Source organism: Homo sapiens, chromosome 9 (assembly GCF_000001405.40).
Source record: "Homo sapiens chromosome 9, GRCh38.p14 Primary Assembly".
In the NCBI taxonomy this organism is placed as follows: Eukaryota; Metazoa; Chordata; class Mammalia; order Primates; family Hominidae; genus Homo; species Homo sapiens.
In genome coordinates this window covers 129,472,780-129,488,503 of record NC_000009.12, presented here as the reverse complement: position 1 = coordinate 129,488,503, position 15,724 = coordinate 129,472,780, and the positions used below count along the sequence as shown (strand labels likewise).

The following is a 15,724-nucleotide window of genomic DNA, read 5'->3' as shown; positions in this document are numbered from 1 at the left end:
CGAAAAATGTCCCCACTCCCGCCCGCCCCGGACCCAGGCCCCGGAGCCCGGCCCCGCTTTTCGCCGGCGAGGAGCGGGCTTCACCCGCCTGCAAAGACTCCGCGCTCCCCCGCGCTCCGGAGGCAGCCGCATCCATCCTGCTGCGTCCCTGCATTTTAATTACCGCCGTATTAATATTCATGAGCCGGGACTCGAGGGGGACCGCGGGCTGTCATTTCCCTCGCCCGCCCTTCCCCCACCGCACCCCTCTTCCCGGGCTGAGTCGTGGGCTTTTTTCCTCCCGTTCTCAACCCCGCTCGCACCAACCGTTGGTGCGCAGCAGATTTGGGGGAGGGGGGTTGGTGTGAGTGTGAGCATGAGTGTGAGCGAGTGTGAGTGGGGAGGGGCCGAGTGTGAGTCTGTGCCTGTGTCTGTATGCCTGTGTGTACGTGCCTATGTGTGCCTGTGTGTCTGTCGGCAATCCCAGGGCCGTGTGTGCACATGTCTCTGATGTCTCTGTGGGGCTTGGAGAAGGGCCAAAGTCTGTCCAAGTTAGCAGGGCCTGACTGTACAAATGGGGAAACTAAGGCCTGGAGAAAGGCTGGGCCTTGTCCAAAGCCACCCCATAGGTCAGTAGCACAGGGAAGCCAGAGCCCAGGGTCTTGCGTTTGGCCGACTCTGCTCCCCGACTCTCCCGTGCTGTTGTTTGTAACAATGGCAGACAGGATGTGCTGAGCCGGCACCTCTCATATGGCCTTCCCAGCAAACCTGTGCAGCACGTGGTCCTATCCGTCCCCCGTGCACATAGGGAAACTGAGGCAACTGGTCCAGCCAGTGAGGGGTGGACTGGAGCCCAGAAGTGTCTGAATCCCAAGTCCCTGGGTTTAACGGCCCCACTGTGATGCCTCCTGGGGAATTGTGGAGTGTCCTCACTGGGGTGATCCGGGGGTACCTGGAAGTTCCTGGGTGCCCGGGCATCAGGGGGGTGTTTCCCCAGAAACACAGCCCACATTCTGTTTCCCTCCCAAGTCAGTCATCAGATGAGGCTGCCTTCCTGTGGCTCTCCCAGTCCCTCTCTGTCCTCTCCCCATCCCTGAAGCCTCCCAGGAGCTGCCCTGCACACCAGGCCTTCCTCCCTGGGCCTGAGGTCAGGCAATCACTCATTCATTCATCCAACAAATGCTTCAGTGCCAGTCACTGTGCTAGGCACTGGGGATTCTCTGCTCCCTACTCTGGTCATCTCTACCTGGCCTAGGAGCCTCCAGGCCCACAAGGGGGCTGTTCACCTCTGTGTGTGAATGCTCACTAGTGGTGGGGGACTAGGGGCACCTGTGCACAAAAGACAGCTCTCACCCAGCCTTGCCACAGAGGTCTGGGGTGCCCACATATTCAGTGGCCAGAAAGGGGCTGCGATCATCTTAGGGCTGATGGGGCGGTGGCCACACTAGGCAGCCTGAATCTTTGATTCTCTCTCCTGCAACTTGTCCTCCTCTGACTGCCAAGCCAAATAACCCCAGGGGCTGGTCAGCCTGCCTTACCCCGGGTTGAGCCAAGGCCGTCCTCCCTCTCACGTCCAGCCTAGAATAGATGGACTGTTCCCTCCTCTCTGCCCACGCAGGGCTGGGCTGGAAGTTGTGTCCCAGCCATGTCCCCTGAGCCTTTTCTCCCCTCCCTTTGGGAGCTCCGCAGGAACACAGAGAAGAGGACAGGGGTGCAGCCAGAGGACTCGGGAGAGGAAGCGATAATTTAATTGGGCTTCACGGGCTAAATAGGAGTTTGCCTAGGAGAGGCGGCCCAAGGACAGGGGACTAGCTCAGAGGGGTGCCTACCTGCAGCCCCCATTCTATAACAGGAACCAGAGCAGGCCAAAGGCAAGAGACCTGGGGAGACTGGGAGGACGGATTTTCTCCTAAAGGGCCCCAGGCAGTACAGCCTAGTGGTCCATCCGCACTCTTGGGTGGGTCCATCCTGGGTGAGAATTCCCCCTCCCTCCTCACTGTGAGGGCCTCTATTTCCTGATCTGCAAAACTGGGAAAATAACATTTTTTTTTCAGGTTTATATTCAGATCAAGAGACACTGCCTGTACAGCACCTAGCACGGTGGCTGGGGCTCTGTCATAGGGTGATGTGTCCTCACGGACGTAGGGAGGCCTCTGGAATCACTGTCCCCATTTGGCCCAGAATGGGATTTAAGGATCAGTCTGTGTCCCACAGTCTAACCCATGGAGTGGAGTTTGGTAGGGACAGACTGCTGGGAGGAGGGGGAACAGCCTGAAACTGTCATGGGTCAGGCAAGGCTCAGGCTCTAGGTAAGAGAGGGATCTCAGAGGCCGCACCGCCCTGCCTGCTGGGCTCCTTGTAGACCTGCCAGATGGCCCATCACCCAAACAGCCAGACCTGCAGTGAGAGGGGCAGCCTGGCCCGCCAGCTCTGGGCTCCCTCCTGCTGCCTGTGTCTCTTTGCCTCCTGGCTCCCCTCTGTCTTTTGAAAATGTCCTCCCTTCTTTTGTTAGAATAGTCATACCTATACAGGGCAAACACACACACACACACACACACACACACACACACACACACAGACAAAAAAACACAAAACCATTTTTTTTAAAGGAAGCATTGTAAAAGTTCATGCAGTACATCCTGACGCTGTCATTCTAGGTTTCGTGTACATTTCTGGGACATTTCTCTGCTTATGGAGCTGTCTTTGTAAAACTTCCATAGGATGACATCCACCTCTGCTCAAAGGCCTTCGATGGCTCCCCATTTTTATAAAGCAAGGTAGCTTCCTCCAGCCTTTGCAGGCTGGCCCAGGCTCGGCAACACCATTCTCCTTCCCCTCCCCATTACCCTCCCTGACGCTGGGCTGCGGGCCCTTCCTCAGAGCATGGCCTCCTCTCCTGCCACCATGCCTTTGGCTTTGCTGTGCCAACCTCTGGGAATGGCCCAGTGCCCTCCACTGAGATTTCTCAAGAGCAGCCTTTGCTGTCCCCTGGCCTCTGTGCCTCCCCCACCAGCTCTCCTCCCTCCCCATCCCCTACACCAAAACCCACCTCTCTCTCTCCCGGTGCCCTCAGCTCTGGTGGACGCCTCTAGGGTGCTGCTTTTCACATCTAACTCTCAGGAGCGCCTCCTCCAAGTCTTGTGTCCCCACTCGGCTATGAGCATCTCAAAGGCTGGGGTCCTGGCATCTTCGTTTTTGTTGCCACCTACCTTGATGCCCTGCACACAGTAGGGACTTTAAAATGTTATATTAAAAAAATTAAAGTTGCTTTTTCTCTTTTTCCTTCTTTCTTTCTTTCCTTTTTTCTTCCTCTCTCTCTCTCTCTTTTTTTTTTTTTTTTTTTTTTTTTGGCGGAGTCTCATCCTGCTGTCCAGGCTGTATGGAGTGCAGGGGCGCGATCACGGTTCACTGCAGCCTTGACCTCCCCAGGCTCAGGTGATCCTCCCACCTCAGCCTCCTGAGTAGCTGGGACTACAGGCGCGCTCCATCAGGCCGGGCTAATTTTTGTATTTTTGTAGAGATGAGGTTTCGCCACGTTGTCCAGGCTGGTCTCAAACTCCTGGGCTCAAGTGAGCCTCCAGCCTCAGCCTACCAAACTGCTGGGATTACAGGCGTGAGCCACTACACCCTGCCTGCTTTTTCTTTAGGGATTCAGGCTCTAAGCCAACAAATGATGGTTTGAATCGTGACTCTATCATTTCCTAGCTGTGTGTCCTTGAGAAAGTGAATCAACCTCTCTGAGCCTCAGTTACCTCATCTGGAAAAGAAAGTTAATAATAAAATCTCCCTCCACGAGTAACAGTGATTAACAGTGCATGTAAAACATCTAGCACCGGCCCAGGGCAGAGAGTAGCCAGCAAGCTCTAATGTTACTCCGTTTTGTCTTATTCAGTCTCATTCAGACTTGTCCAAAGTCACCTGTCCAATTTTGGGCAGTGCTGGGACGCTCCCCCTGTCTCTTCCCCCTCCAATGCTACTTCCCTGTAGTGGGAGAGGGTCCCAGGCCATCATCTCTGTTTTGCAGAGGAGAACCAGGTTCAGAGAGGCCGAGTTGCTCACCCGGGATCACACAGCCCTGAGAACAAGGCAAGGGTCTGCCTGTTTGCTAAGTTCCATGTGAGTTCTTTAGGTTGCTCAGGATAAGGATGGCCTCAATGAGACCCACCGTCCTGACAGAGGGGCTCGTACTCTTGTGGCCAAGAACTGGCAAGGTGGGCTCCTCGGGGGCCAGGGAGCCACCGCAAGTGCTATTAAGTGGAACATCACTAAGACAAACAGCCCGCATTTCCTGGGTGCTTTCCCCAGGGCAGGGAGCTGTGTCAAGTGTTCATGGGCACAGTCTCCTTCCATCCTCACAGCAACCCTATTATCCTGCATTCCAAGGATGGGTGCTCCCTCAGATCCCAGGTAGGGGCTAAACGAGGGGTGGCGCCAGCACCCGAACCCTGATCTTGCTCCTGCCCTGAGCCTCTGTGGACCACTGAGAACAATGGGCTTTTACCTGTGCTGTATCAGCTCTGGGGCTCAGCAGGAGGCCAGGCTCCACCCCCCAACGCCCCCAACCCAAGTTGGGGGTGCTGCTTGGGTCTCATAGAACATCTTGGGGTCCCTCCCCAGCCCTGGCCCCACAGAGCCGACCCAGCTGCGTCTCTGAGCCGCACCCAAAATCTTCCCAGCTTTGCCAGGGAGACTGGAAATTTCTGCTCAGCAGCTTCGTCTGGGATGATTTCGACACTTGGCTCGATGGGGTCGAGAGGAGGAGCCAGGCCGCTCAGCCGCTCAACATTCTGGAGCTCCCCTTGGGTCACCGGGAGGGGGGCTTTGCTAGGCGTAGATGAGCCCCTCCGAAATGGTAAAATCAAGCAACAGTGACCAAGTACCGAGCGCTTACCGTGTGCTGGGCCCTGTGCCAAGTCAGGACTTGCTGGGCCTCACGGAACCTTCCGGCGCCCGGGCAAGGCCAGCACTGTTACCAACTGTCTCGCGGACTGCTCCTAACTGGGGGCTCTGTTAGCATCCAGGAGTCTCCTCCTCGGATACTCTGAGTACCCCCTCCAGAGACCCCAGGCACCGGATTCTCTGTACGGGGCCGCTGACGTGCCCAGCCCTGGTGAACCCACCCTTCCAGACACTTCCACCCACGCCCGGCCCTGGGGCTGGGGGCGTCGGGCAGAGCGCCGGTGAAATTCTGCCAGTGGCTAAGGCGCCTACTGTGCCCCTGGCTCTGCGAGGGTCGGGGGACTGTCACCAGGCCCAAAGTCGCCAGGGAGGAGGGGCGTGAATGACGAAGCTCAGATCCGGGCAAAGGATCGGAGAGGTGATTAGACACCCCGGGCAGGCAGCGGAGGCCGGCCCTGCTGAGCGACCCCCGTTAGCGACGACCCTCAGGGGCTCAGGCTCCACGCCCATTAACTGGGTATCAGTCCCTTCCATCCCGGGGAGCCGAGCTCCTGGGAAGCAGCGCCTGGGGGCGCCGGCGACCGGCTGGGGCCGCCTCCCTGCTCCCCCGCCCTGGGCCCGATCGCCGGGCGCGAGGCGTGCAGGGCGCGGCGCGGGCCCGGGCGCCCAGTTCAGCGGAAAGGAATGCCTTGCTCGGCGGGGGAGGCCGTGGCCCCGAGGCCGTGTCCACCCCCGCCCGCCCCGGGCCTCATTTACTGCGGCTCTGAAGCCCGGCCCGTTTCGCCCGCCGGGCCCCGCGGGGTGACTCCCCCCACGATTGCGGTCCCCCGCCCTCCGCCCGGCCGCCGCTGGCGGACCCCAAAGTCGGGGCGAGTCTCCAAACCGGGGAGCCGGCCCCGCCCCCACGCCGCGGCGGCGCCCTCCCTTCCCCCTCCCCGCCGCCCGCCTCTCCCCCTCCCCCCTCCATAACTCAAAAGCCTGTCAAGCTGGTTCCAGACTCCTGGCGCCGGGCTCCGCTCCAGGAAAGAAAAAAAGGAAAGAGAAAAAGGGAAAAAGCCGGCGCGAGGGAGCGAGAGAGGCCCGCGGAGCAAAACCGTGCGCCCCGGCACGCACAGCCCCGCGGCCCCCGACCCCCCACGCCCCTAACCCTAACGGGGATCCCAGTCCTAGGGACACCGGGCGCGTGCGCGACCCCAATCAGTTATTTATGGGCGAATTAATTATGTAGCTGCCATGGGCGGGGGGGCCGGCAGGGGCCATGCGACGCGGAGACCACCCGGCCGCGGTGGCGGCTCTCCTGCCGGGCCTCGGGGTCGGGAGGCGTCCCCACGCCGCCCGGGGAGGATCCCGTTGTGAGAAAGCTGCCTCGGGGTGGGGTCCGGGAGGAGCGCGGGGGAACCTGAGGAAGCGGGAGAGACGGCTCGGAGACCTCCCAATTAGACTGGGAGGGGAGAGGGGGGCGGGCGACGGAGCTGGAAAGAGCGGGCCGCGGAGACCGGGGCGTGGGAAGAGCCTGGCCTAGGCATTTCTTCCCTTCCTTCCTTCCTTCATCCCCATCCTTACTGCGAGCCCACTACGTGCCACTGCGCCCACAGCAGAGGGCGGTATTAGGGAGGGGTTAGGAGCAGGAAGGAATTTCGAGGTACAGCTGGGTCCAAATCCGGATTTGTATCCTATACTCCCCTGCTGTGTGGCCTTAGGCAACGGCTTGCCCTCTCGGAGCCTCCACTTCCTCATCTGCCAGTGGTCTTCAGGACTTGGGAGATGGGGCGCTTGGGCAGAGAGTTTGTGGGGGCGCGGTCGAAGGGAGGTCCTGTCCTTGGGAAACTTTACATAGAGGGGAACATGCCCAGTCCCCCAGTATTCCCCATCTCGAAGCCCCGACTTTGGGTCTCATATAATCTGCCTCTCCCCGGGGCCCACACATTTGAAGGTCGTTATTAAAACCACACCACCCCCAAGGCCACTGCTCAGGACGCTCACCCCTAGCTGGCTTCTCACCAGCCTGGCCCTGCAGAAGGTCGTGCATATGGCAGCCAGAGGGGCTCAATCTAGTCCTTTTACTCCCCACCTCCGCTGCCTCCCCCGACTCTGCCCTTCACATCCCCACCTGGGTTCTCCTTCCAACCTGCTTCTAGTCTGGGCTAGGGAGATTGGAGCCCTGAGGCCATGGGGGCTACGGGGCAGTGAGAACAGGGGTGGGGGCTCAGCTGGCCCTCCCTGGACAAGTGTCCCCCTTATCTGGAGTGTCAAGGCGTTCTACTTCCAAGACTCAGAAGTGAAGGAGGCTTCCGTTTGCGACCCAGGATTGCCTAGGGGTTTGCCTGTCTTCTTTCACCAAAACTTGCAATAACTCTGTTAGGTGAATGGGGCAGATCCAGGTTTTATGGGGCCTGAAGGTTTTACAATCCTGGGGACCCACTTGAAGAAGAATAGTGCAAAGTTATGAATAGGCGGTTAAGCTCAGGGCCTTGGTAAATGACAGTCCCAGGAGCTAAAGCTTCATTAGCCCCTCGGTAACTCACCTCTGTAGATGGACAACACAACTGTCATCCCTTTGCAGAGGTGGAAACAAAGCTTAGGCTGGCCCAAGGTCACAACAGGTAGAAAGGACAAGCTGGGATCAAACCCAGGTCCCACCCCACAGGCAGCACCCTGAACTAACTGCCTCAGTAGGAATGCCACCTTCCATATCATCTACCCCATGCCACATCTCACCTGTCCCCACCAGTGCCCAGCCCAGGCAGGGTCAGTCAGAACAGCCTTTGCTTCCAGAACAGTCTGTGTCCCTCCCTCCAGAGGCCTCCATGTCCCAAGGCTCAAGCCTCAGAGATACTGTCTTGTGACAACACTCACAGATCTAGTAAGTAGGTCTCTTCTAAACTTTTGATTCCAGCAATGGTAACCTGCTCACTCCAGAACTCCAGCTCCCCCGTCCACCTGGAGGGAGCGCACCCCTGTTCCCCGGTGGGCTCCCTGGTGTTCGGGGCTGGATCTGTTTTATTTGGCTCAGTATTCCCCGCTCTTGACGCAGTACAGACATACAGCCGACAGAGTGACTGTAGCAGTAACATCTATTCCCAACCTCGTGGAACAGGATGTTGTTAAACTGCGGATTCCCGGGCCCCCCTCAGATTCTACTGAATCAGACTCTCTGTGCACAGGGCCGGGGACTTGGCATTTTACAAGCTCTTTTGGGTGCATCTTAACCATAGTAAAGTTCGAGACCACGGACCTACGGCCAGAAAGGACCAAATGGTTGTGTCTAGACCAAGGCCTTCTCACCAGGGGGAGTTATCTCCCCTAAATCCGACCGATTTCACCAGTTCCCCAGGCTCTTCTGGCTGAGATCAAATTATTTCACTTATCAGGCCAGGCACAGTGGGTCATGCCTGTAATTCCAGCACTTTGGGAGGCTGAGGTGGGTGTGTCACTTGAGGTCAGGAGTTCAAGACTAGTCTGGCCAACATGGCAAAACCCCGTCTCTACTAAAAACACAAAAATTAGCTGGGTGTGGTGGTGGGCGCCTGTAATCCCAGCTACTCAGGAGGCTGAGGCATGAGAATCGCTTGAACCCGGGAGGTGGAGGTTGCAGTGAGCCAAGGTCGTGCCACTGCACCCCAGCCTGGGTGACAGAGCAAGACTCAAAAACAGCAACAAAAATTATTTCATGTATCAAAGACCTACTGCCTGCCCGGGACTGGGTCTGAGGCCTTAGAGAATTGACCTCATAGGATACTCGCAAAAGCTCTGAGAAGTAGGGAGAATTATTGTCCCCATTTTACAGATGGAATCTGAGGCCTGGAGAAGCAAAGTGGCTTTGTGGAAGGGATACGGTGCTGGGGAATGAGGAGGCTGGGATGGGAGCTGAACTCACACCCTTAACTCCTTCCTTCCACTGCCCACAAGGCCACTGATCCGAGGGCTGTAACTCGCAAGGGTCCTTCAGTAACATCCGGAGATGAGAGTTTACACACCAGCCTGTGAGCGGCTTTGAGAAATTAAACACGCTACAGAGTCACTACAGGGACCTCATGCTAAGACGCGCAACAAAATTAGGCGACAGGCCCCAAAGAAATCTAATCAAGTAGGCCTCTTCTCCTCCGTATCTTTGGAGTCGGTGTTCAGGGGAATGTGTGTTTGCGGAAGGATTTGATGTATTTGCTTCAGGCAAATCTTTGCCTTTTTCTCTGCCTGCAGTTCTGTGCTAGGCAGCAAGAAAGCTCCACAGCTGGTGGCCAGTGCTGCAGGCCAGCGTGGCTCCCTGGGCTTCTCTGTAGGGCTGTGTTATCACGCTTCCCCGGGTCCGGTGCTCTGTGCAAACGTAGCCTCTTTCCTGCTCCAGGATGGGCAAGGCACAGGGGAGGTTTCAGGTGGAGAGAAATTGATTTAGTGGCCACTGCTTCTGAGGCTGGAGGACCTGCCTGAGGCAGAGGGTGTGGACTTGTTCTGGGAGGACCCAGAAGGCAGAACCACGGAAGGCTACCAAGGGAGGTAGGTTTTGCCTCAAGATGAACTATCCAATAGTCAGGGCAGCTGTGTAGGTAGTGAGTGCCCCACCTGGGGAGGTAGTCAAGGACAGGCAGGGATAGAGAGTGGTGTGTCTAGGAGTACAGAGCCATGCCTCAGGAGAAGAAGTGGCTGAAGACACTTTGAGGTCTTTTGAAACTCTGGGAATTTCCATATCTAACATTACTGACCAGCCCATGTGGGACTGAGGGGATAAATTAAGGAAGGGAAGGGGCAGGTTATGATGGCCAGACTGGGAACCACAGACCCCCAGGGAGACAGAAGCAGGCTCCTAGCCCTTGGTCTTCCAACAAAACTACTGTTTCTCTCTCTCCCCTCCCTTCCTTTCTTCCTTCCTTCTTTCCTTCCTTCTCTCTCTCATCACCCTCTCCTTCCCTCCTTCCCTCTCTCCCTTCCTCCCCCACTCCCTCCCTGTCTCTCTTTCCTTTTCTTTTCTTTCTTCCGACAGGGTCTTGCTCTGTCGCCCAGGCTGGAGTGCAGTTGTGTGGTCACAGCTCACTGCAGCCTCAACCACCCAGGCTCAAGCAATCCTCCCACCTCAGCCTCCTGAGTAGCCGTGGTGAGACTACAGGTGCACTCCATCATGACTGGCTAATTTTTGTATTTTTTGTAGAGACAGGGTTTTGCCATGTTGCCCAGGCTGGTCTCAAACTCTTGGGCTCAAATCTTCCTTCCACCTTGGCCTCCCAAAGTGCCGGGATTACAGGTGTGAACCACCACACCTGGCCTCACTCTCATGACCCCTCATGGGGTCTTGCCATGTTACCCAGGCAGGTCTTGAACACAAGCGATCCTCCTGACTCAGCCTCCCTAAGTGTTGGAATTGCAGACCTGAGCCACCGTGCCCGGCGCACTATTGTTTCTTGAAATTCAAATACGCTTCTTTCTTTTTCAGTCATTTGTAAATGTCTGGTAACCTTTCATAATGTTATTAATAATAATATTTCTAATAACTGGTAATCAATAACTGTACTCTCTGTAGCATTAACTGCATGCTTACTGAGAAAGGATGTACTCTAGTCCAGGCATGGTGGCTCACGCCTGTCATTCCAGCACTTTGGGAGGCCGAGGTGGGTGGATCACTTGAGGTCAGGAGTTTGAGACCAGCCTGGTCAACATGGTGAAACCCCATCTCTACTAAAAATATAAAAATTAGCCGAGTGTGGTGGCACGTGCCTATAATCTCAGCTATTCGAGAGGATGAGGCATGAGAATCGCTTGAACGTGAGACGCGGAGGTTTCAGTGAGCTGAGATCATGCCACTGCACTCCAGCCTGGGTGACAGAGCCAGAAGCTGTCTCAAAAACAACAACAACAAAAACAAAAACAACAAAGAAAGGAAGGAAAGGAGAGGGAGAGGAAAAAGGAAAGAAAGGCTATATTCTAAGTGCTTATGTGTATAAATGTGTGTAATTGACATGGCAGTCCTATGAGAAGGGTGTTTATTTGTGCTATCACTCTTGTTTTAGAGATGAGGACACTGAGGCTCAGAGGGCTGACATGCCAAGCCCCAGGGCACAGGAAGGCAGGCCTCTGCTTCCACCTCACATCCCCCAGTGCCTCTGGAAACCGCAGCCTGTGGAGGGCCTGAGGTCGCTTATCACCTGTCTCTGCAGCTCATCCTCAGCAAAGACTGAGGGTCCTTGATGCTGTCCGGGTCCTTGATGCTGTCCCCATCTTTATGCCAGGTCTCATCTCAGAGGCAGGCTCAGGAAGGGAGCTGGGAGATGCCGGCAGAGGGCCCAGGAGAGGCACACTGCCCACCAGCTAGGAGCTGCTTCTGACCTCGCTGGCCGATGGCCGGGGACCCTGGCCCCTCCCAACCCCAGGGACACAAAGCAGAAGATCCCAGAATGGGGATGGGGAGAGAGGACCATCTTGTTCAACTTCCTCATTCTATACCAGGAAAACAGGCATCGGAGAAGGGAAGAGATACCTCAAGGTCAACGCCAAGTCCAGCAGCTGCTGCTCTCCTGAGTCCTCCACGTGGACTTCTTCTGCGTTCCCACATCTCATTCCTCCAATTTTTTTTTAAAAATTGTTAGTAGTAGCATAATACTAAGAAAGCACTATTCAAAGGAACAAGAAGACCCACCGTGTGCGGAACGGTCACTGTGCACCAGGCAACGTGACCCGCAATTTTCTCTCCTATAAAACGGGGATGAGAACAGGGCCTCCCCTGCTGACTCATGGGAAGAGGTTAAGATCAAAGGTGACAGTGGACATGAATCAGCATTTTATAAACCACAAGACATTGTCACCATGGCTATCTTTGGTTTTTATTATTTATTTTTTAATTTTTTAATTTTTATTTTTTGAGAGCAGGGTCTCACTCTGTTACCCAGGCTGCAGTGCAGTGGTGCAATCATGGCTCTCTGCAGGCTCAAATCCTGGGCTCAAGCAATCCTCCACTCAGCCTCCTGAGTAGGTGGGACTATAGGTGTGTGCCACCTTGCTATTAAATTACCTGGCTATGGCCGGGCACAGTGGCTCACACCTGTAATCCCAACACTTTGGGAGGCTGAGGCGGGTGGATCACTTGAGGTCAGGAGTTCAAGACCAGCCTGGCCAACCCCGTCTCTACTGAAAATACAAAAATTAGCTGGGCATGGTGGCACATGCCTGTAATCTCAGCTGCTAGAGAGGCTGAGACACAAGAATTGCTTGAACTTGGGAGGCAGAGGTTGCAGTGGGTCGAGATTGCCCCACTGCACTCCAGCCTGGGTGACAGAGCGGGACCCTGTCTCCAAAACAAAAAATAAAATAAATAAATAAATAAATAAATTACCTAGTTAACTGAAAAAAATTTTTTGTGAAGACGGTCTCAGCCGGGCGTGGTGGTTCATGCCTGTAATCCCAGCACTTTGAGAGGCTGAGGCGGGTGGATCACCTGACGTCAGGAGTTCGAGCCAGCCTGACCAACATGGTGAAACCCCGTCTCTACTAAAAATACAAAAATTAGCTGGGCATGGTGGCGGGCGCCTGTAATCCCAGCTACTTGAGAGGCTGAGGCAGGATAATCGCTTGAACCCTGGAGGCTGAGGTTGCAGCCGAGATCGCACCTCTGCACTCCACCCTGGGCAACAAGAGTGAAACTCTGTCTCAAAAAAAAAAGACAGGGTCTCAAGTATGTTGCTCAGGCTGGTCTTGAACTCAAGCAATCTGGCTTGGCCTCCCAAAGTGCTCGGACTACAGGCATGAGCCACCTTGCCCAGCCCCGTGGTTAGCTTTGAATCCTGGGCATAGAAGCTAGAAGTAAGCTCCTACCAGGGAAACCAGGTGACATTTAGGGCCCAGAAACAATCAGTTCTTCCAGGTTAGATCCTCCCTCGGAAAGCACATAGGGCCATTTACTCATTTGCTCATGGTCCACCTGAAAATCCTGCGTACAGCACCTGCTATGTGCAGCAGCTCAGCCCCGAGGCTTTGAATGTAGGTTCTGGACCGAGCCCTCTCAGGGTTGGGTTCAAGTCTTGGCTTTACCACTTCCCAGCTAACCATAGTCTTCCTTCTCGAAGGCTCGGGGTCTGGGTTAGGATGCTGGCCCAGCTGCTGTAGCAGAACCTGAGTAACAGTGGCTACAGGAGACAGGAGCTGATTTCTCTCATTTCAGAGGTTTTCCTCCTTTCAGTCTAGGGGATGGGAGGCTGCCCTGGGAGCCGGTCCAGGGCCCAGGCTCCTTCTATCTCTCTCATCCCTGGAGGATTGCTTCTGTCCACAAGCTTGAAGATGGCTGCCCCTCTCCCTCCCCATTCTCTGTGAGTGTGTGTTTGGGGAACCAAAGGGGTGGAAGCTACCAATTTCTTTTACTGGCTGGCAGGAAGGTGCATAGCTCATTGCTTGTGTTTCATTGGCCAGAGCTGATCATATGACCACACCTAGCTGCAAGGGAGGCTGGGAAAGGTAATACTTAGCCTGGCAGTCATGTGCCTCATTACAACCTGGGAGAGGGCCATTCTGTTACCAAAGGGGAGGTGGCAAAATGGGTACTGGGCAACAGCCAGCAGCACAGCATGTGTCCCACAGGATTCATGGAGATCTTTCGGGAAGCACCTAGCACAGGCCAGGTGCGTGGAGGGTGCTCAGGGAACAGGAGCTGGTGTTGATGTTGCAGGTGAGTGCCTGCACTTTCCCAAGGGAGGCTGCAAGCCAAGCCCTGGAACTGCTCTGGCTGCTTTTTTGGGGGTCTCCACCCCACGCCCCACACCCTCTAGGTGATGAGGAGAAGCACCAAGAAACAGCAACTCCCAGCCCGTCCTCTCGGGGCCTCACAGCCCAGTGTAGCGAAGACCTCAGAGTTCTGCCCTCCTTTCAAAGAAAGAACAGGAAAGCAGCCTTGTCTTCAGGGCTTGTAGCCCAGGAAGAGACAAGAGTGACATTGGGGGCCTTGCACCCTCACCCCACGGCTGCCTCCAGGGACCATGGCAACATCTGCCTCCAGTGGGGAGTGGTGGGGTTCTTCCTGGAGGCTCAGGCAGGCGTCTGTGTTCCACCCCTTCCTAAGGCAGTGCCAGCCAATTTGGGCTCAGAAATGTCCCCTCTCTAAATTTTCCCCTCTGCACCTGAAGCTCCCACAGCCCAAGGAGAACTGGTGGGTGACAGGAAGGGGAAGCATGACCTCCAGTGCACACAGTATCCCAGCAGGGCCAGCTCACCCAGGAGCTGAGAGGGAGGGTCTCTCTGCTCTGTAGACACTGGGTTCAGGATCAGGAGCTGAGACCCCAGATCAGATAGACCTAGACCGTGGCTCTTCCTCTTAGCAGCTGTGTGAGTCTCCGTTATAGTGGGAATGATATGGGGAACCACGTCTCCATCTTATTGTAAAGATTTATAAAATAACCCGTGCAAGGTACTTGTGGGGAGAAATGGCTCAAAGGACAGTGCCTGCTCCAATCACGACTATGACTATTGTTTTTCTAATCCATGCCACAGACCTTGACTTTCTGCCTCCCACGCACATCTCCCAGCAGGCAACGCCCTCCCGTCTGGCAGTTTACACTCTAGGCCTTTTCTGAGCCCCTAAGACTGGGCAGGTCCCCTGCACGCCCTATGCACTCTGGCTTTCTCCTTCCCAACACTTTCCAAAATCATGATGAAGTCATTATTTGGCTGGAGTGCTGCCCTCCAGGCAAGGAATCTCGTGACAGCAGGGACTGTGATTCTTTCATTCGTTGCCATAGAACTCGTGCCCGGTGAAGGGCGGCGTGGTGTGGTGAGGATTCACGGTGAATGCTGCAGAATGGGTCCTTCATTCGCTTAGCCATTTATTCATTTACCCAGAGCTAGATGAATTTGACTCTCCACCTCCGTCATTTACTTTCTGGGTGACCTAGAGAAGCATCCTTCTTCTCTTAGCCTCAGTTGCCTCATCTGTAAAATGGGGCTAGCGTGGCCCTCACAGAGAATGGCAAGGAGTCATTGAGATAATGGGGCTATGACACACAGATATTTTGAGCACCTGGCATCTAGCAGTTGTTCAATAGCCACTGGCTGTAGTAAGAGTCTTATTTGGGCAATTGTTACTGTTATTGTTCTCCCTGAAACTACAGCAGGAGTTTGCTCTGCCCTTTCATGTCAAAATCCACTGGACTGACCCACACTGCCTGACTACTGGAAAGGCCAGGAATGGCTGATAAAAGTTCTTTCCTTCCTCCCTTCCTCCTTTTTCTTTCTTTCTTTCTTTTTTGAGACAGAGTTTCACTCTGTCGCCCAGGCTGGAGTGCAATGGTGTGATCCGGCTCACTGCAACCTCCGCCTCTCAGGTTCAAGCAATTCTCCTGCCTCAGCCTCCCAAGTAGCTGGGATTACAGGCATTCGCCACAATACCCAGCTACTTTTTTGTATTTAGTAGAGATGGGGTTTCACCATGTAGGTCAGGCTAGTCTCGAACTCCTGACCTCAGGTGATCCATGCGCCTTGGCCTCTGAAAATGCTGGGATTACAGGCGTGAGCCTCTGTGCCCAGCCAAGCTAATATTTTTTTTTAAATGTTTTGTAGAGGCAGGGGTCTTGCTATGTTGCCCAGCCTGGCCTTGAAATCCTGGCCTCAGGCAATCCTCCCAAAGTGCTGGGATTCAGCATGAGCCACTGAGTCATTCATTCATGCATGCATGCACACAGTGAATCCACATTTTCCGAGTGCCCCCCAGGGGCCGGGCCCAAGACTAGGTGCTGGTGGTTGCAGGCATATAGGAGGGTCCTGGACTGAGGGGAAGCCATCAGTTTATCCTCTGTGCAAAGGGAAGTAGCTGAGCCCTCTGCCCGCATCCTGTCACCCCCATCCCCCCATCGGCTGGTCCATCTGTGTCCTTTTCCTG

At 55.2% G+C, this 15,724-nt stretch overlaps 1 long non-coding RNA gene across 1 annotated transcript, besides 3 other annotated features; it reads left to right on the top strand.

Moving 5' to 3' along the window:
- Positions 7-666: an enhancer, noted in NCBI's record as "H3K27ac-H3K4me1 hESC enhancer chr9:132250117-132250776 (GRCh37/hg19 assembly coordinates)". NCBI's record gives its function as "activates a minimal SCP1, AML or CMV promoter by ChIP-STARR-seq in naive H9 embryonic stem cells {active_cell/tissue: H9 hESC(naive)}" and the evidence as "EXISTENCE:reporter gene assay evidence [ECO:0000049][PMID:30033119]".
- Positions 1,327-1,986: an enhancer, noted in NCBI's record as "H3K4me1 hESC enhancer chr9:132248797-132249456 (GRCh37/hg19 assembly coordinates)". NCBI's record gives its function as "activates a minimal SCP1, AML or CMV promoter by ChIP-STARR-seq in naive H9 embryonic stem cells {active_cell/tissue: H9 hESC(naive)}" and the evidence as "EXISTENCE:reporter gene assay evidence [ECO:0000049][PMID:30033119]".
- Positions 2,100-2,394: a silencer, noted in NCBI's record as "tiled region #12687; HepG2 Repressive non-DNase unmatched - State 8:EnhW, and K562 Repressive DNase matched - State 6:EnhF". NCBI's record gives its function as "represses a minimal TATA promoter and a strong SV40 promoter by Sharpr-MPRA in HepG2 and K562 cells {active_cell/tissue: HepG2 | K562}" and the evidence as "EXISTENCE:reporter gene assay evidence [ECO:0000049][PMID:27701403]".
- On the top strand, positions 9,092-11,668 carry LOC124902283 (uncharacterized). The gene is made up of 2 exons (XR_007061814.1): positions 9,092-9,372; positions 10,878-11,668. It is a non-coding gene; the product is annotated as an uncharacterized LOC124902283 (long non-coding RNA).
- Positions 11,669-15,724: the final 4,056 nt, after the last annotated feature.